Source organism: Homo sapiens, chromosome 2 (genome assembly GCF_000001405.40).
Source record: "Homo sapiens chromosome 2, GRCh38.p14 Primary Assembly".
NCBI classification, from domain to species: Eukaryota; Metazoa; Chordata; class Mammalia; order Primates; family Hominidae; genus Homo; species Homo sapiens.
In genome coordinates, this window is record NC_000002.12 from 12,463,622 (window position 1) to 12,482,857 (window position 19,236).

General features: G+C 37.2%; 1 long non-coding RNA gene across 1 annotated transcript in view; it reads left to right on the forward strand.

Annotated features, from left to right (window-relative positions):
* Positions 1-19,236, forward strand: part of MIR3681HG (MIR3681 host gene) — a 571,233-nt gene that overhangs the window by 456,506 nt on the left and 95,491 nt on the right. The gene's annotated exons all lie outside the window — the stretch shown is intronic.

A 19,236-nucleotide genomic window follows, 5' to 3' on the forward strand; every position in this document is an offset into this window, starting at 1 on the left:
TCAAAAATGTGCTTAAAAATTTTAACTGACAATACCACATTAACAAATCAACAAATCTACCATTGTTTAAGATTTTAATACACTTGTCTCAGTAACTGATAGAGTTGAAAAATAAGACTTTTGTAGAAAATTCAACACATATAACATGCTTGATCTAATGGTTATATGCAGAACACTACATCCAATAGGTGCATAGTATAAGTTTTAAACACACACCGAATGTTTAACAAAGCTAACCATTTGGTGAGCTATAAAGAAATCTCAAAGACATTTCAAAGGACAACCTTCATACAGACAATATTCTTTTACTGAAATGTAATTAAGTTGCTAGAAAGAGAAGACTTAGACTTAGAAAAAAAAAGATACTTTTAGAAATCATTTATAACTGAAAATGAAAATATTACACAATAAAACAGTGGAATGAAGCAAAAGCAGTACTCAGAGCAAAAACTATACCTTTAAATAATAGAAAACATACTGATGAATATAATGCAATATTCATCTTTCTTAAGATATTGGGAAAAATATTAAACAAAACATAAAATGTTGGAAAGGAGAGAATTATGGAAACAGAAAATAATGATATTACCGTTTTTTAAAAAACACAAAAGAGGATTCAAAAGAACATAAGTCGGTTCTTTGAAAAAAAAACACAATGAAAGACAAACACCTCTTACGATGATAAAAATGAATGTGCAAGTACACATAAACCGTATTAGAAATGAGAAAGAATTAACCCTAAATAATGCAGACTTTAATAAGATACTATGAACAATGTTATCACACTAAATTTGAGAAACTTAGGTAAAATTGATAAATTCCTCAAATATGTTGTATACATTACTCACCAGAAAACCTAATTCTCCCTAAAGTTTTGTTAATGGAGGATAAAGAGGACAAAAAATACTTTGGACAGCTAATCTTTGTATTCACAGGACACACAAAAAAATCAAAATATTTTCAAATAGAATACTTAAAGTTTTAAGCTAGCTTCAAGGGCAGTCTTAATTATCATTGTCAGTAGCTATTTGCAGGGACCTAATGTTCTATGCTATCTAACATAGAACCATAATTGTTGAATGAATACAGGAATAGATAGATTTGTTGTTGAAAATATCATTTCATATTATTAAATTCTTGTAACACTGAAGGATGCAGAATAGGTCTAATTGTCATTCTGCAGAAAAAAGAAACAAAGACTAGGAAAGGTTAGGTGATCTGCCCAAGGTCACATAGCCTGTGTGATATGTGGGTTAAATTCCAATCCATGCATCCTGTATGTGAGACAGTATCTTTTGGGCTACAGTACTTTTAGGGCCATTTATTCACGCACCTAGTTTAGAAATTTACAGCAGTTCTGCTAAAGCAAATATTTGCTTTGTCCCTGCTATAAGAAGAGTGGGGGGGCCACCTCTTCATACTAAATCTAATAAACTGTTATAAGAATTTTAATAATTACTAATGTTTTAATTCATTAATGCATATCATGCTACTGATATTTCTTAAGAAATATTTAAAGTCCTGTTTCCATTAAGGTATGCACTTTGATGTAATTAAAATGTTTTCTCCTACATTTCCAAACCAAACCAAATTTGTAACAAATAATGTAGAGAGAAAATTGTCACTCTATATTTATGTACGCTTTATTCAAATCAATAGGAAAAACCTCAAACATCAAGATCAAAGGTATGGTCTTGAATTTTTATACAAAAAATACGATCTAAAAAATCGCAATTCAATTTTCATCTATCATATTAGTAAGATTTTTTTTTAATTATACAAGGCACACATAAAATGATGGTCAAAATGTTAATTGGTAACAATTTTTTAAAAGATATTTGATAATATGTAGCAAAAATCCATTCAACCCCTTTGACCCAGTAATTTCATTAGGGGGCTTAATTTTAAGAAAGATCTCAAAGTTGCAAAGTTGAAAAGAAATGGTATTTATTGCAACAATATCATGGCAGTTTTTCCATGACGTGCATGAAACAATGGATACAAATAGTTTCTATGATAAATATGTTGTTAAACACTGTGGAATTTTTAAAACTTTGTATTTTGAACTAAATTTAGACTTACAGAAAAGTTGCAAAGATAGTACAGAGGGTTCCCACATATCTGTCAAGCAGTGTCCCCTAATGTTAACATCTTACATAACCACAGCACAATCAACAAAACCAGGAAGTGAATGTTGCTACAATACTATTCCCTAAACCTCAGAGTTTAATAGATTCACTTGTTTTTTCCATAAACATCCTTTTTCTATTCCAGGATCCTGTCCAGAATCTTGCATTGCAAAAAAACTGTTGTTATCTTCTTGGTCTTTTCCAATTAGTACAAGTTCCTTAGTCTTTTCTTATCTTTTATGATAAGGGGAAATATTAATGGCTTATATTGTTTGAGGAAAGCAGGGCACAGAACAGGACACACACACACATACATGTGCGCACGCGCGCACACACACACACACACACACACACACACGCACACCATGATCTCAACTACACAAAGAGAGAGCTGACTAGAAAAACATCAAGAGAACCCAAAATGTTAAGAGTTCTTATCCTTAGGTGAAGGACCTCGGGCAATTATTTTCCTGCTTTTTTTACTTTCTCTATTTTAAAAAATACGTTACAAAAATGTTCATCTAACATTTAAAACCAGAGAGGAAAAAGTACAACATAAAACAAAATTCTCTAAGCCAGAGAATTTTAAGCCAGAGTTTATTCTCTCATTTAATCTGACTAAATATTGTTTTACTGTGTTGTAGGTATACACATAATTCCCTCTTGCTTCTACTTTTGTCTGATGCAGCTTATATATTGTCAATTATTTTTTATTTTATTTTATTTTATTTATTTATTTTTTTTGAGATGGAGTCTCGCTCTGTCACCTAGGCTGGAGTGCAGTGGCGCAATCTTGGCTCACTGCAACCTCCGCCTCCCGGGTTCGCGCCATTCTCCTGCCTCAGCCTACCGAGTAGCTGGAACTACAGGCGCCCGCCACCAGGCCCGGCTAATTTTTTTGTATTTTTAGTAGAGACGGGGTTTCACCGTGTTAGCCAGGATGGTCTCGAGCTCCTGACCTCGTGATCCACCCACCTCGGCCTCCCAAAGTGCTGGGATTACAGGCGTGAGCCACTGCGCCCGGCCGTCAATTATTTTTTTCTGTCTCTTTCTCTCTTCTTCCCTCCTTCCGTCCCTCCCTCCCTCCCTTGCTTCCTTCCCTCATACCTTTCATTTTTCTTTCTTTCTCTCCCCTTCCTCCCTTCCTCCCTCCCTGCCTTCCTGCCTTCCTTCCGTCCCTCTTTCTCTCTTCCTCCCTCCCTCCCTCCCTCCTTTCCTTCCTTCGTATTTTTTTTCTTTCTTTGTCTCTCCTTCCTTCCTTCCTTCTTCCTACCTTTCCTTCTTTTTTCTTTCTTTCTTTCTTTTCTCTTTCTTTCATAATGACAGGGTCTCTCTCTGTCACCCAGGCTGGAATGCAGTGGCATGAACATGGCTCACTGCAGCCTGGACCTCCTAAGCTCAAGCAATCCTGCTGTCTCAAGCGAGCCTCTTGAGTATCTGGGACTAAAGGCATATACCACCATGCCAAGCTAACGTTTTTTTTTTTTATTTTTATTTTTAGAGATGGGGTCTTACTATATTGCCCAGGCTGGTCTTGAACTCCTGGGCTCAAGAAATCCTCCCACCTTGGCCTACCAAAGTGCTGGGATTGCAACTGTCAGCCTCTATACCCACTTCCTTCCTTCCTTCCTCCCTCCCTCCCTCCCTTCCTTCCTTCCTTCCTTCCTTCCTATCTTCCTTCCTTCCTTCCATCCTTCCTTCCTTCCTTCTACTCTCTTTTTTTCTTTCTTCTTTCTTGCCAATATCTAAATACACCAAGTAAACGAGGAGGAGGATCGCTTAAGTCCAGGAGCTCAAGATCATTCTGGGCAACTTAGCAAGACACCATCCTTAAAAAAATAATAATAAAAATAAATAAATATGTGTGCCAAGCAGGAACTACTCAAATATGAGTGGTTTAGAGGTATAAAGCACGGAATGTCACCTTATCTAGAGAGTATTGGAAATACGAATGCTCCCTGAAGACAATGGACAATGTAAGAATCCATCTGAACTGCACTTTCTTCGTCTTCTTCTTTTATTTTAGAGATACAGACTCAGTCTGTCACCCAGGCTGGAGTGCAATGGCGCAATCATAGCTCATTGCAGTTCTAACTCCTGGGCTCAAGCAAGCCTCCCGCCTCAGCCTCCTGAGTAGCTGGGACTAAAACTGCACCTGGCTATTTGTATTTTGTTGAGACAGGGTCCTGTTATGTTGCCCAGGCTGGTCTTAAATTCCTGGCCTCAAGTGATCCTCCTGCCTCTGGGTCCAAAGCACTGGGATTATAGCCATGATCCACAACGCCCAGCCTGAACTGTACCTTTTTGACAGTAGGAAGAATGTTCTTCACCTTCTCTGTCTGAAAACCCCCTGGGAAATCTTGATGAGCACTGAATCATGCCTTTACAGAACAAAGACTGAATAAATATGTCCACTGCAGTCACCTTCTATCCAGAAGGTGCTAGGAACAAGAGACTGATGTTCCTGATCATCGATCATGAGGGCATTTTAGGGTAACACATTCTTGGCTGATTCTTCATAATGGCTATTTTTGTCACCTTCTAGCTTCTCATCAAGGTGAATGACAGCCAAGTCCTAAAAAAGAAGAGCACTCTTTCTTTGCAGGTGGAGAGGACAAGGAGCTCCAGTGACAGGGGCTCTCACTTCACAATTGTGGGGAAGGGACCACAGGCACAGGGAGGTGAGAGCTGCTCCCATTAAAGGCTAGGAAACATTCCTCTGGTGCCATGGAACAAAGGGCAGCAGGAGACACCTGCCTGGCTGGGCCCCAGAGAAGCCTACCTGCAGAAATGGAAAGAACTTGCCATTTTGAGCCAGTGGAGCCTGGGTCTGGATTTTGGCTTACTCACGTGCAATAACATTTGCCATTTATTGAGCACCGATAAGGTTTGGCTGTGTCCCCACCCAAATCTCACCTTGAATTGTAATAATCCCCATGTGTCAAGGGCAGGGCCAGGTGGAGATAATTGAATCATGGGGACAATTTTCCTCATACTGTTCTCGTGGTAGTGAATAAGTCTCATGAGATCCGATGGTTTTATAAATGGGAGTTCCCCTGCACAAGCTCTCTTGCCTGCTGCCATGTAAGACATGACTTTGTTCCTCGTTCACCTTCTGCCATGATTGTGAGGCCTCCTGAGCCATGCTGAACTGTGAGTCAATTAAACCGCTTTTCATTATAAATTACCCGGTCTCAGATATTTCTTTATTCGCAGCATGAGAACAGACTAATGCAAGCACCTACTATATTATTTTCCTCAGTGCTTAATCTGTAACAACCCTGCAAGATAGGCAACATAAATCCATTTTATATCCAAGGAATCTGGGACCCTTATAGGGTATGTAGCAGTGGGCTTTGTAATCTGAGATTCCATTTCCCCCTCTGTCTGATGAGAATAACACTCCCTTTCTCCTAAAGCTGTTGGGATTAAAGGAACCACACAGAAGAAGCACTGAACGTATTTCCTAAAACCCAGTAGGCACTAAGGAGGAGTCGTTCTTTGATACTCAGATTCCACAGTGATGATGTTTCTGGGATGCTACGCCTGAAGTGTGATCTGGTTTAGATTTTTTAATGTAAGCCTAGAATCCCAAGGATCTGCCAGCAACAGAAACTCTTCTTGGAATCTTCTTGAAATGCAAACAGTTTAAAGGTCACTGAAAACTTCATCCAGCATATATTTATATTTGTCTGGTAAGCTCTTGAGGAGAATTTTCCAGGAGATGGTGACATCCCAGGAGACTTCTTGCTGAGGCTCCTGTAACTCATTTTCTGTGTTTTTTGGCCTCTGCCTTCTGAAAGGAAAAGGGAACTCAGTAAAAAATGTTAAACAAGGCCAAAGATATAAATATTTTTTTAAAAGCACTGAATAAAAAGTGTTAGAAGCCACTGTTGCAGGGAGGTTTTTCAGCCACCAGTGCCAAACAGAAGACTCATCTTAGCACCCAGGAATGTTCTTCCTTCAGGCTTCCTGGGGCTCCAGGCATCTAGAATGAGGGGTGTTCTGTGTCCTTATTGACATGCATTTGGAGACATGAGAGGCGGGTAAATCAAGTGAGCTGTCTGCAAAATGCTCCAGCAGGCGAGTGTAGGGGATGCTCCAGGCTTCTGTACTACAATTATTGTTCTTTGAATATAAACAGGCAGTTAAGAATGATAGATAGGTAAATTAGATAGATAAATAGATAGATGGATAGATAGATATGGGTGGATGGATAGATACATAGATGGATAGATAGATAAATAGGTGAATGGATAGAGAGATGGATGGATAGATAAATAGATGGATAGATATAGATAGATACAGATGAATAATAGATATAATTATAGATACATACATAGATTATTATAGATAAGTAGATAGGTACATAGATCAATAGAGTTAGGTAGGTAGGTAGATAGGACAGACTAAAAATGATCAGTTTTTAATTTATTACTAAGTGTGTGCTTTAAAACAAACCCACAGAGTTAAATTAACTTAAAACTTCTTTTTGGAGTAGAGTTCTGTGAGATTTAACACAGGTATCCGTTCATGTTATCACCACCACAATCAGAACGTAGAATGCTGCCATCACCTCAACAAACTCCTTTATGCCACCCCTCTGTAGTCACACTTTCCCCTACTTCTAAGCTCTGGCAACCCCTGATAATTACTCTATTGCTACAGATTTATCTTTGTGAGAAAGTCATATAAGGCTGGGCATGGTGGCTCATGACTGTAATCATAGCACTTTGGGAGGCTGAGGTGAGTAGATCACCTGAGGTCAGGAGTTCGAGACAAGTCTGATCAACATGGAGAAACCCCATCTCTACTAAATACAAAATTAGCCAGGCGTGTTGGTGCATGCCTGTAATCCTAGCTACTCTGGAGGCTGAGGCGGGAGAATGGCTTGAACCTAGGAGGCGGAGGTTGCAGTGAGCCGAGATCTCACCATTGTATTCCAGCCCAGGCAACAGGAGTGAAACTCTGTCTCAAAAAAAAAAGAAAAAAATATATATGTATATATATGGAGCCATACATTATAACAGTATATGACCTTTTGAGCCTGACTTCTTTCATGCAGCCTAACACTTTCAAGAGTATGCAAATTGTTGCACATACCAATAGTGTGTTCCTTTTTGTTACTCAGTAGTATTCTATTGTATGCATGTGTGGTGGAAAGAATAGTTGCCCCAAAGATGTTCTCATGCTAATCCTAAAAAGCCCAGAACATGTTACCCTGCATAACTAAAGGTACTTTCTGGAAGTGATTAAGGATCTTGACATGGGGAGATTTTTCTAGATTATCCAGGTGGTCCCAAGGTAATCATATGAGTCCTTATGAGAGGGAAGAAAGACGTTTAATTAGAAAAATGGCTGTGACAAGAGAAACAGAGGTTGGAGTGCTGTGCTTTGAAGAAAGAGGAAGGAGCTGAGTGCCATGGGATGCAGGAGGCCTCTGGAAGTTGGAAGGATGGACAATAGTTTGTTCATTAATCCGTTGAAGGATATATGGATTATTTCAAGTTTTAGGTTTTTCTAAATAGGAATTTTATGAAAATTTATATAGAAGTTTTTGTGTGAACCTAAGTTTCTAATTCTCTAGGGTCCTGGGCCCTCTATTAAGTATATGTTTAACTTTATAAGAAACTGTCAGAAATGTCTCTTAGATGGCTGCACTATTTTTCACATCCAGTAATAACAAATGAGAGTTGCAGTTTCTTTTTATACTTGGCAGCGCGTGGCATTGTGTGTGTGTGTGTGTGTGTGTGTGTGTTGATCGTTGCAATTCTAGTAGGTGTACTAGTGATACATAAATGTGATTTTATTTTGCATTTCCCTAATGGCTAACAACATTCAACATCTCATACTTATTTGCTATCCTTAGATTTTTGTTAACATGTCTGCTTAAATCTTTTTGCCCAAGCTTTAAAACTGAATGTTTTTTGTCAGTTTGTTTGTTTGTTTTTTGGGGGAGTGGTTTGTTTCTGTTTTTGTTTTTGTTTTTTTGAGACAGGGTCTGGCTCTGTCACCCAGGCTGGAGTGCAGTGGTGTAATCTTGGCTCACTGCAACCTTGCAACCTCTGTCTTCCAGGCTCAAGCCATCCTCCTACCTCAGCCTCCCGAGTAGCTGGAACTACAAACGTGCACCACCATGTCTGGCTAATTTTTTATTTTTTGTAGGGATAGGGTCTTACTTTGTTGCCCAGGCTGGTCTTGAACTCCTGAGGTCATGTGAGCCACCTGTTGCAGCCTCCCAAAGTGCTGGGATTACAGGCATGAGCCACTGCACCTGGCCCATTGTTTGCTTATTGTTGCGTTTTTGAGAATTACTTGAAATTGTAGATGTAAGTCTTTTGTTCTAGATTTGTGATTCATGAATACTTTGTCTTAGCCTGTAGCTTATCTTTTTTGATATTTAAAAAGTTATCTTTTATAGAGCAAAAGTTTATGATAAAATCTAATTTATGATAAAATCTAATTTATTATATTTTCTTTAGTGGATTATACTTTTATTTTTGCCTAAGCCCGTATATTAGTCTGTTCTCATGCTACTAATAAAGACACATCTGAGACTGGGAAATTTATAAAGGAAAGAGGTTTAATGGACTCACAGTTCAACATGGCTAGGGAGGCCTCACAATCTTGGCAGAAGGCAAAGGAGAAGCAAAGGCATGTCTTACATGGCAGCAGGCAAGAGAGCTTGTGTAGGGGAACTCCCCTTTGTAAAACCAACAGATCTCATGAGACTTATTCACTACCAGAAGAACAGCATAGGAAAGACCCACCTCCATGATTCAGTTACCTCCCACCAGGTCTCTCCCACAATATGTGTGAATTATGGGAGCTACAATTCAAGATGAGATTTGGGTGGGGACACAGTCAAACCATATTAACCCATGTGAGATTTTTGTTCTATTTTTATTGTAAATAGTTTATAGTTTTATGTTTTACATTTAGCTCAATGATCCATTTTGAATCAAGTGTTTAATAAGATGGGACTATTAGATCTAGGTTTATTGCTTTGTATGAGGATTTCCAAATTTTCTAACCCCTTTTGAAAATATTGGTTTTTTTTTCATTAAATTGCTTTCACCTCTGTGTAGTCTTATTTTTGGATTCTGTGGTATATTCCATTAATCAATGCATCCCTTTACCAATATTACAGTGCCATGATTACTGTAGCTTTTTGGTAAGTCTTAAAGTTGATTACTATAATTCTTCCATCTCTATTCTTTCCCAAAATTGTTTTTGTTAGTACCTTTGTATTTCAACATAAATTTAAAATTATCTTTTCTATACTGGAAAAAAAACCCTGCAGGGATTTTAAATTTGATTGATATTGCATTAAGACCACATATTAGTTAGAGGGAATGGATTTTTTTTGCTACACTGAGAATTTCTATCTATAAATGGTGTATATCTCTCCAATTATTTAGGTTTTCTATGGGTTTTTAATCAGCATTTTTAAGTATGTAGAAGAATATGAATCCTGTGCAAGTTTTACTAGATTTACATCTATTTTATTTATTGACACTTTGGAAAATTACCTTGCTCTTTTACTTTTGATTCCCAATCATTTGTTGGTATTGTAGTGTAGTCTTTGTGTGAAGACCATATATTCTATGAGCTTGCTAAACTGACTTATTAGTTCTAGGAGTTTTTCTATCAATTATTGGGATTTTTCTATGCAGAAAATCATGTACTCTGAAAGTACAGACATTTTAAGTTCTTTCTTTACAATATATGTGTCTTTTTTTTCTTGCCTTATTGTACTGAATAGGTCTTTCAGAATGGCATTGGATAGGAGTAGCGAGACTGAACATCCAGCATTTTTTTTCCATTATAGTGGAAAACATTAAATTTTTTGTCATTAAATATGATGTTACCTATAGTTTATTTTAGATGCCTGCTATCCAATTGGGGAAATTCTTTTTCAATGTTAGTTTGCAAGGAGTTTTTCTCAAGAATGTGTGCTGAATTTTTTCAATTTTTTTTGTATCAAATAATATGATAAAGTGACTTTCTCCTTTATGTTTCTATATTGTAAATGACTCGCTTGATTTTCAAATAGTAATCCAGCTTTGAATTCCCAAGAAAAACAATTATTGGTTGTGATAAATGATTTTTAAATATACTGTTAGAGTTGTTTTACTAATATATTTTTATAATTTAGGTATCTATATTTTTGAGGGATATTGGTCTGAAGTTTTCTCATTCATACAGTCTATTTCTAGTTTTGGGATCAAGGTAATGTAGGCCCTATAACATTAATTGGGAAGTATTCTTTTCAGTTCTATTAACTGAAAGAGATTTTTATAGAATTGGTACTATTGGGCCCATGGGATCTACATTTTTGGTATATTTTTTAAGCTAATAATTCGAATCTCTTCATAGTTATTGTATTATTCAAATTACCAATATAATCTTGGTTGTATTACAGTTGTTTTAGTTGTTTTTGAGAAATTGGTCTGCTTCATCTAAGTTGCCAATTGTATGCACACAGAAGTATTTGCAGTATTTCCTTATTATCCTTGTAATATTTGTGGGCTCTTTAGTGGTATTCCTTCTTCCATTTCTGATATTGGCAATGCATATCTTCTCTCTCTCTCTCTTCTCTCTGTCATCTTTCTGTCTCTGTTTCTCTCTTTCTCCCTCTCTCTCTCTGTCTCTCACTTTTCTGTCTTGCTACAGGTATAACTATTTTACTCTTCTATTCAAAAAAAAAATTTTGTTTCATTGTTTCTCTTTATCATTTTTCCATTTATAATATATTGATTTCTGTTCTTAACTTTATTCCCTTCCTTTTGCTTGCCTTGTCATTATTTTGTTCTTTTTCTATTTTTTGACAGTAAAAACTTATATAATTGATTTGAATCTTTTCTTTCTTTCTTTTTTTTTTTTTTTTTTTTTTGAGACGGAGTCTCGCTCTGTCGCCCAGGCTGGAGTGCAGTGGCGCGATCTCGGCTCACTGCAAGCTCCGCCTCCCGGGTTCACGCCATTCTCCTGCCTCAGCCTCCCGAGTAGCTGGGACTACAGGCTCCCGCCACTACGCCCGGCTAATTTTTTGTATTTTTAGTAGAGACGGGGTTTCACCGTGTTAGCCAGGATGGTCTCGATCTCCTGACCTCGTGATCCGCCCGCCTCGGCCTCCCAAAGTGCTGGGATTACAGGCGTGAGCCACCGCGCCCGGCCTCTTTTCTTTCTTTCTTATATAAGCATTTAATGTTATCAATATTCCTCTAAGTATTTTTAACTATATCCCACAATGTTATGAAATGTTTTATTTTCATTTTTATTCATTTTTCTTATTTACCTTGTAACTTCCTCTGTGTCTTGTTTAATTTGCACATGTTTAGATATTTTATTATCTCTCTGTTATTGTTTCCTAGTTTAATTCTACATGGCCTGCAGTGGTTTGAATTGTGTGCCCCCAACATTTATATGTTGAAGATATAATTCCCCAGTGCCGTAGAATATGGTTATATTTGGAGGCATGGCCTTTAAAGAAGTACTTAAGTTAAAATGGGGTAATTAGAATGGACCCTAATCTAATATGACTAGAACCCTTATAATAAGAGGAGATTCAGACACAGACAACATAGACAAGGGGATGACCATCAGACACAGAGAGAAGGAGGCCATCCTCAAGCCAAGTAGAGAGAAGTAAGAAAAAACTGTACCTGCCACCCCCTTGATCTTGGACTTCTAGCCTCTGGAATTGTGAGAAAAGACCATTAAGTTGCTTAAGCTACCCAGTCTATAGTTTTTGCCACCCAGTCTGTGGTTTCGTTACGGCAGCCCTAGCAAACGAATGCATGGTTCAAGAACATACTTTGTATTATTTAATTATTTGTTAAGGTTTGCTTTATGACCCAAGAAATGGTCTCTCTTGCTTCATGTTCTACACACACTGGAAAAGAACATGTACTCTGCCAGCCTGACCAACATGGGGAAACCCCGTCTCTACTAAAAATTAAAAAAAAAAATTAACTGGGCATGGCGGCACGTGCCTGTAGTCCCAGCTACTTGGGAGGCTGAGGCAGGAAAATTGCTTGAAACCGGGAGGCAGAGGTGGCAGTGAGCCAAGATCGCACCACTGCACTCCAGCCTGGGTGACAGAGCGAGACTCCGTCTCAACAACAACAGCAACAAAAGAATGTGTACTCTGCTGTTGCTTGGGTGGAATGTTCTGTAATTGTCAGTTAGATCCAGTTGGTTAATGTTGTTCATTCTTCTACATCCTGTGCAATTTTCTTTTATTTTGCTTTGTCAATTATTCAGGGAAGATTTTTGCAGTCACAAGCTATTATTCTCGATTTGTCTATTTTTTTCTTTTAGTTTTGATGCTCTCTTATCGGATACAAATCCATTTAGGACTATTGTGACTTTTTCTCATTTTTTAATATTCCACATTAACCTTGGTGTTTTTCTTTGTGCTGAAGTCTATTTTGTGTATATTGATATTGCCACATCAGCTCTCTTTTCTTTTTTCTTTTTTTCTTTTTTATGAGATGGAGTGTTGCCCAGGCTGGAGTACAATGGCACGATCTCGGCTCATTGCAACCTCCGCCTCCCGGGTTCAAGCGATTCTCCTGACTCATTCTCCAGAGTAGATGGGATTATAGGCATGTGCCACCATGCCCAGATAATTTTTGTATTTTTAGTAGAGATGGGGTTTCCCCATGTTGGTCAGACTGGTCTTGAACTCCTGACCTCGTGATCCACCTACCTCGGCCTCCCATAGTGTTGGAACTACAGGCGTGAGCCATTGTGCCCGGCCAGCTTTCTTTTTATTTGTGTTTGTGTGATGTATCTTTTACACAATTTTACCTTGAAACTACCTATTATTATATTTGAAATTAGTTTCTTGTTGTCTCATATAGATGGTGCTTTTTTACTTTAAGATGCATAGTAAATTCCACCTTCATCACAACTCTTTTTCTGATAAAATCAGCCAGAGGCCATGTCGTGACTATGTCTCACTATTTGAAACACTCTTACATCCTTCATGACATTCTTTTGCTGCAGGCATTACTTGTAAGCATCTTGAGGGCAGGGAAGATTCATTACTTCTACATTTGCTACAGCTTCTGGTACAGATTCTGTTTTCTTTCATTTTAAAATATCAAATGATTCAATTAGATTGTCTTGATGTTGATCAGCAGGATGTACAATGGAGCTCAAGAGACCTGAGTTCTAGACTAAGGTGCATTTTCAGGATTTGACAAGATGGTGCACAGTACACAAGGGAAATGACAAAACACTATATACATGTAAAATATTATATTTTATATAATAATACTTGAATATGATTTTATTTATATATAGTCACAAGTCAAATACTTTATTAAGAAAATAAAAACAGTAAAGGGAGCTTTTCAGATGTAATTGTGGAAACTGACTGGCCCCAGGCTCTTATGAATCTTAGTATTTGGCTTAAAAACTATACAGGAACTTTTTCTTTCCACCCAGACCCAAGTGGATGAAGTCAGACAGTTACCTCTAAGCTTCTATCTATGGGATGGTTCTCTCTTACTGGTTCACCCTATAAGACTATTAGCATTTGGGTTTGTGCTCAGCTTTTGTTTACTCATCCTCAAGTGCATGTGTGGCTGTTGAGAGTCAGGTACTAGCCCACCAGGGATCGGAAAATACTGCCAGAGCTCATATCAACCTCTCTGCTTTTGTGTTTCTCCTAATCTCTGGACTTTAAACATTTATCTTATTTTCTTGCCAGCCCAGCCACCTATTTGAAAAGATGATTTTAAAAACTATTTTATGCAGAGTTTATGTCTTTTATACCAAGAAGAGTTCTTTGGAGAGATGGGCTATTCTAAACTCAATATGAAGCCAACATCGTAATTAATCATGAAGAATCTTTATTTATTTATTTTTTGGCCTGACTAGTTACAAGCAAGAAGGTAATTAATATCTTCCAAAATGTATTTTTAAAAACAAGAGAGGGACCAGGAATGGTAACTTATGCATTGTTCTGGGTGTGTGAACACGTATGTCTGCAATATATACAGTAATGCACATTTATCAAAAAATTAACTGTTGATTACAAAATATTTAAGGGTATCTCTTATGTTCATGATATGAGGTTGAAAGATGACAATTTACTCACAGTTCCTCATTGTTTTTTAGTCCCATGTCCCTGTACATCCATGCATTCTGTTTATAATTTCTCCCTTCTCTATCAACTAAGGGTACAATAATTATCTAGTAAGTGCTGTTCATGGACTGATACAAGCACCAGTAGGGATAACTGTTGAAAAAGCAGGAAGTCATGGAGTCATCACCACAAAAAAATAACATGTAACATGTGCCATGTGCCAGGCATGGTGGTTGTATGTTTCATTTATTATTTTCTTTATTCCTTCTCTCTCCTATGCCGAGACCTATTAGGTAGGTATAAATACTATTATCTTAAATATGAGGAAGCTAAGTCTTAGAGAGATTAAACAACTTTCCCAATGCCACAAAGTTAGTAAGTATCCTGATGAGATGTGAGGTTAAGTGGCTTGAAACCAATACTTGTGCTTTCAGCTCCTGGGCTACAGCTCTCAGTTCCATCGCAATGCAAGGAGAGCATGCACTCTGTTACGACCCAAGCAAACATCTCCACCAGAAACTGAGGCTTTTACAATAACGCCAGAAAATAAAACCACGATGACACACTATTGGGAAACATTTTTTATAGAAAACTGGAAAATATATTTCTCTTTTATTTGAACCTCTTGGCATCCCAAACTTCACTGCTCATGAACATTCTTTGGCATAACCATGATACGATTGGGGCTCACCTTGTAGGTCGCATTCTTCATGATTTAATCTAATAGTCAATGCATGGGGCCAGGCATGGTGACAGAGCTATGCTTAGCCAGATAACCTGCAGTTAAAAGTCCAGCTCCCACAGTTATTATGGAACTTTGTGTAAATCATACTGTTTTTCTGTATCCTCACTTATGAAACAAATGGTGATCTTTATAGGTAGGGCAGTTAAAGCACTAAAGAAAAACTATGTGCAACACTCAGAATAGTTCCTGGTACATAGTAGGCTTTTAAAAATTATTAGCTGTTTTTTTTTATTAGTTCATGATTTTTGTGCTCAACAAGCCTTTAGAGGAGGCATGGGGTAGTATTCATGTTTAAAATCAATAAAAGGTAAAGGTGATGCTTATTCAGCAAGCATGTGTCCAGTACTCATCCAGCATTGACCACATGCAAATAGAGTTATTTCAGTCATGACCCTGGCTCATAAGTAAAGAAAACATGAGATAAAGGAGCCCGACTTTAGATACTCACTCGGAAAATCGGAGGAGCAGGGGATGTAACGTTACTGTACTCTGAAAGAAGGGCTGAATGGCCTTGGAGACTGATTAGATTTTAATGTTCAAGGGGCAAAAAGTCAGGCTGACTGGGCTTTTCTGAGCCAGGGCAGTCTGAAAAATAGGGAACCTTAACCAAGGGAGGAGGTGTAAGAGAAACAATGTGGTTTTTTTTTTTTTTTTTTTTTTTTTTTTTCTGGAATAAGCTGATGAGTTTAGATTTAGACATGTGGACAGTGAAAAACCTAGGCATGTCTCAACACAATTTGTCTTTTCTTCTTTAATTTGCCATTGCAAAAATAAATTAAGATTGAATAAATAAATAAAAATACTTTGTGTCCTCATAGGAAGAAGTTAAAATAGATCTATTAGTCATCCAATCTAAGTGTCCAACAGGGAAAGGATGACTAATAAAATTATGGCATATTTTATACACTAGAATTATGACATAGAAAATAAGGTTAGCAAAGTTATAATAACATATAAAATTGGGTGGTATAATAATAATCTTAAAGAGTACAATACAAGATGGTATGTAGCATATAATCTTATTTTTGTGAAAATACAGTATGGAGGAAAAAACAAGGAAAACTAAGCCTCTAGTTGTTGCTTACAAGTTGTTAGACTGTGGATAATTTTTTTCTACACTTTACTAATTTTGGATTCTTTTCAAAATTTCTATAATAACAATGCATTAATTTTTAAAAATAAATTAAAGAAGGTAAGGATAACTACAATAATATATGGGAAAAGTTAAAATTGTCTGGGTAATAGTAACACCAATGATATACATGTAGTATCTACAGATACAGAAAATGTTTTATTTTTGAAAAATTGATTAATAAATGAGGTTCTAAGCACTTTGTATTTAGCCAAAGCATTCTAAGGGATTTAGCTAAATTAATAAAATTAATAAAGGATAGTTTATTCTAACATCATTTGGTATGGGAATTATAGTTAATCCAAAGAGGAACAGGATTTTTCATGTATGACAGGCAATGTGCATGGCAGATGAGTAACAAAAAATTATAAATTTAGCCTTGTTGTTTGAGCCTAGTAAATTACTCATTTTTGCTGTGTACCATTTTGTTAATGATAAAAATGTGAACAATAAGTCTTATCTTGTAACATTATTTTGAAGATTGAATTAAAAACCTCTGGCATAATGCCTGCTTTTGGTCTTGGTAAATGATAGCCATCATTAGGTTTCTGTATATATAATTATCTAGCTCCCTCTCTCCCTAGCCTATTTGTCTGTATTATTATATACAATATAGAGTATGTAACTCCCGCGTGCACAGTGACTATTCCTGCCTCATTCAATAGTGTATTCCCACTACATAGAAAAGTACCTGACAGAGAAGGCACTCAATAAATATTTGTTAAATAAGTGAGTGATGATTAAAAACACACATACACAGGGTAGAATTGGGAATGGATAAGGACTGGTGTTGACCCTAGAGGGTCTGCTCAGAGTGAGTCTTGAGGACCTTGTAGAGATGGTACAGGCTCTAGGAACTCTGCCTGTGCAAATATGCACAGATGAGCCCATAGCAGCTCGAAGAAGAAACTGTCATGGCAAAAGGCAATATGAATAGATACATAGAAATGGGATCCTGGTGACCCTGGGGACCCACTGGCTCAGCTTCATCAGGAGCTCTCTTTGCACTACCTCTGCCTTTTTGGGTTCTATTATCCTGTATAACAATTTGAGCTGTTTTCTATTATTAGCGAACAAGTGCTTTCTAGATGATATCCCCTTTGTTAATCTTCTCACATTTAAAATGGGAAGAACAATAACAATTACCTCATAGATTGTACAGTTGTATCAATCTATCTATGATTGCCACATTACTGTCATTTTTAAAACCATCCCCAAATCTCAGTCATTTAGCAACAGACATGTATTCTTGTATTCATGAGTCTTCAGGTCAATATCAGGTGGTCTAGGATGGCCTTGGCTCATGGCAGGGCTGCTTTTGGAGTGTATGGACAACACAGGAATATTTCGTGTGGAGACCTGTCTATATATAAACAATTCTGTTCACCCCAAATCAGCAAAATTCTGGCAGCTTAATCTCACATGATGCCATGAAAGAAATACAGCACTGCCTGGGAGAGCTGTCTGTGATTAGGGGTGGTACTGGCTAGAAGGCTGTTCTTCAGAGCATGATTGTCTGCTACACTGTCTCTGTCATTCTGGGGCCCATGCTAAAGAAGCACTGGCTATCTGGATGACAATTCTCATGGATTATCCTCATCACCATTATCATCATCAGAGCACAAGACTCAAGCCAAACTATACATGTGCATTTAAGCCCTCTGAAATCTCATGGATCAACCCAAATAACATGGAAAATTAAACTCTGCCCAAAGAAGGAGGTATCGAGAACTGAATATATACTGGACAATGATTTAAACTATCACATAAGTCATCCACTCTTCCATTTAGTGAGCATTTACTGAGTACTGATTATGACCTAGGCACTATGCTAGGAATGCAGTGATGAGCAGGATGAGGTCTTCATCTATAAGGAGTTCATAGTCTAGGAGGGGAGAGAGACATGTGAACATACAATTACAATACATTGAATCAGGTGTTAATAATAGTTACTGTGTGTGTAACATAGGCCGGAATCTATTCTAAATACTGTGCATGCCTTACCTCATTTAATCACCTTATCAACTCTCTGAGCTGTAGATGGGTTAAATAACCTACTCAAGGCCACACAGCTGGTTAGTGACACATCAGAACTCAATACCAGTCTATCGCCTCTGGAATCCTTAATCTCAATTGCCGTGAAATTAACACCAGCCAAGAATTTGGAAGGAAAAGTAATTTAGCAAGTATAAAATACCATATAAAAGTCAACTGTTATTCTTATTGTCTTTCAAATATTTCTCCAAATTGATTCATAGAATTTCCAAGTTGAAAAATATCTTAGAGAGCGTATGGTCCTGTTACCAAACATCTGCCTTTTGTGAATAAGGACACTGAAGTCCAGAGAGAGAGACTGCTCAGGTCATAAGACTGGTTAATGGTGAGTCTGAGAAGAGAACCCGGCGCTCTTATCTTCAAGCCTGGGTCTGTATCAAGTTACCTTTCTAGAAGATGACATGCTACCTACACTGAGATACAGGGTTGATGCTATGGAAAAGAGATACACACAACCACCTAATACTGGGGCTCTGTCTTATAGGACAAATGTGCAGCTATTAGCCTTTGTCCATTTTAGAGTTAGAACTATATTTTAGATAAATGACCAGAGCTCTGTAGGCCTCAACTCTCTGCCTACCAGCCACACCTCTCTGGACTAGCTCAAAAGGAATGGGGGCTAAATGACGGTAGGTATTGGAAACTGGGCCATCACACCCATTCATTCCATACTGAAAATGGCTTTTTGAGGTAATTTTTGCAAGCTCAAAGATTGTTAGAGTGCAATGGTTTTTGAACTTTTTGATCACAGAATGCTTTTACTCTCTTTAAAACTACTGAGGACCCCAAAGAGCTTCTGTTTGTATGGGTTATATCTACTAATTATGTTCTGTATGAGCAATTAAAACTGAGACAGTTAAAAATATATATGAATGCATGCAAATATGACAATATAAGCCTATTACATATTAACATAAATAACGTATTTTAATAAAGTAACTATTTTTAAAATAAAAATGAGTGAGAAGATATATATTGTTTTATACTTTTATAAATTTATAAATTAAAGTCAGCTTTAATATAAAATGACCGAATTTTGTATCTGCTTTTGCCTTCAATATGTTGTGATATGTTG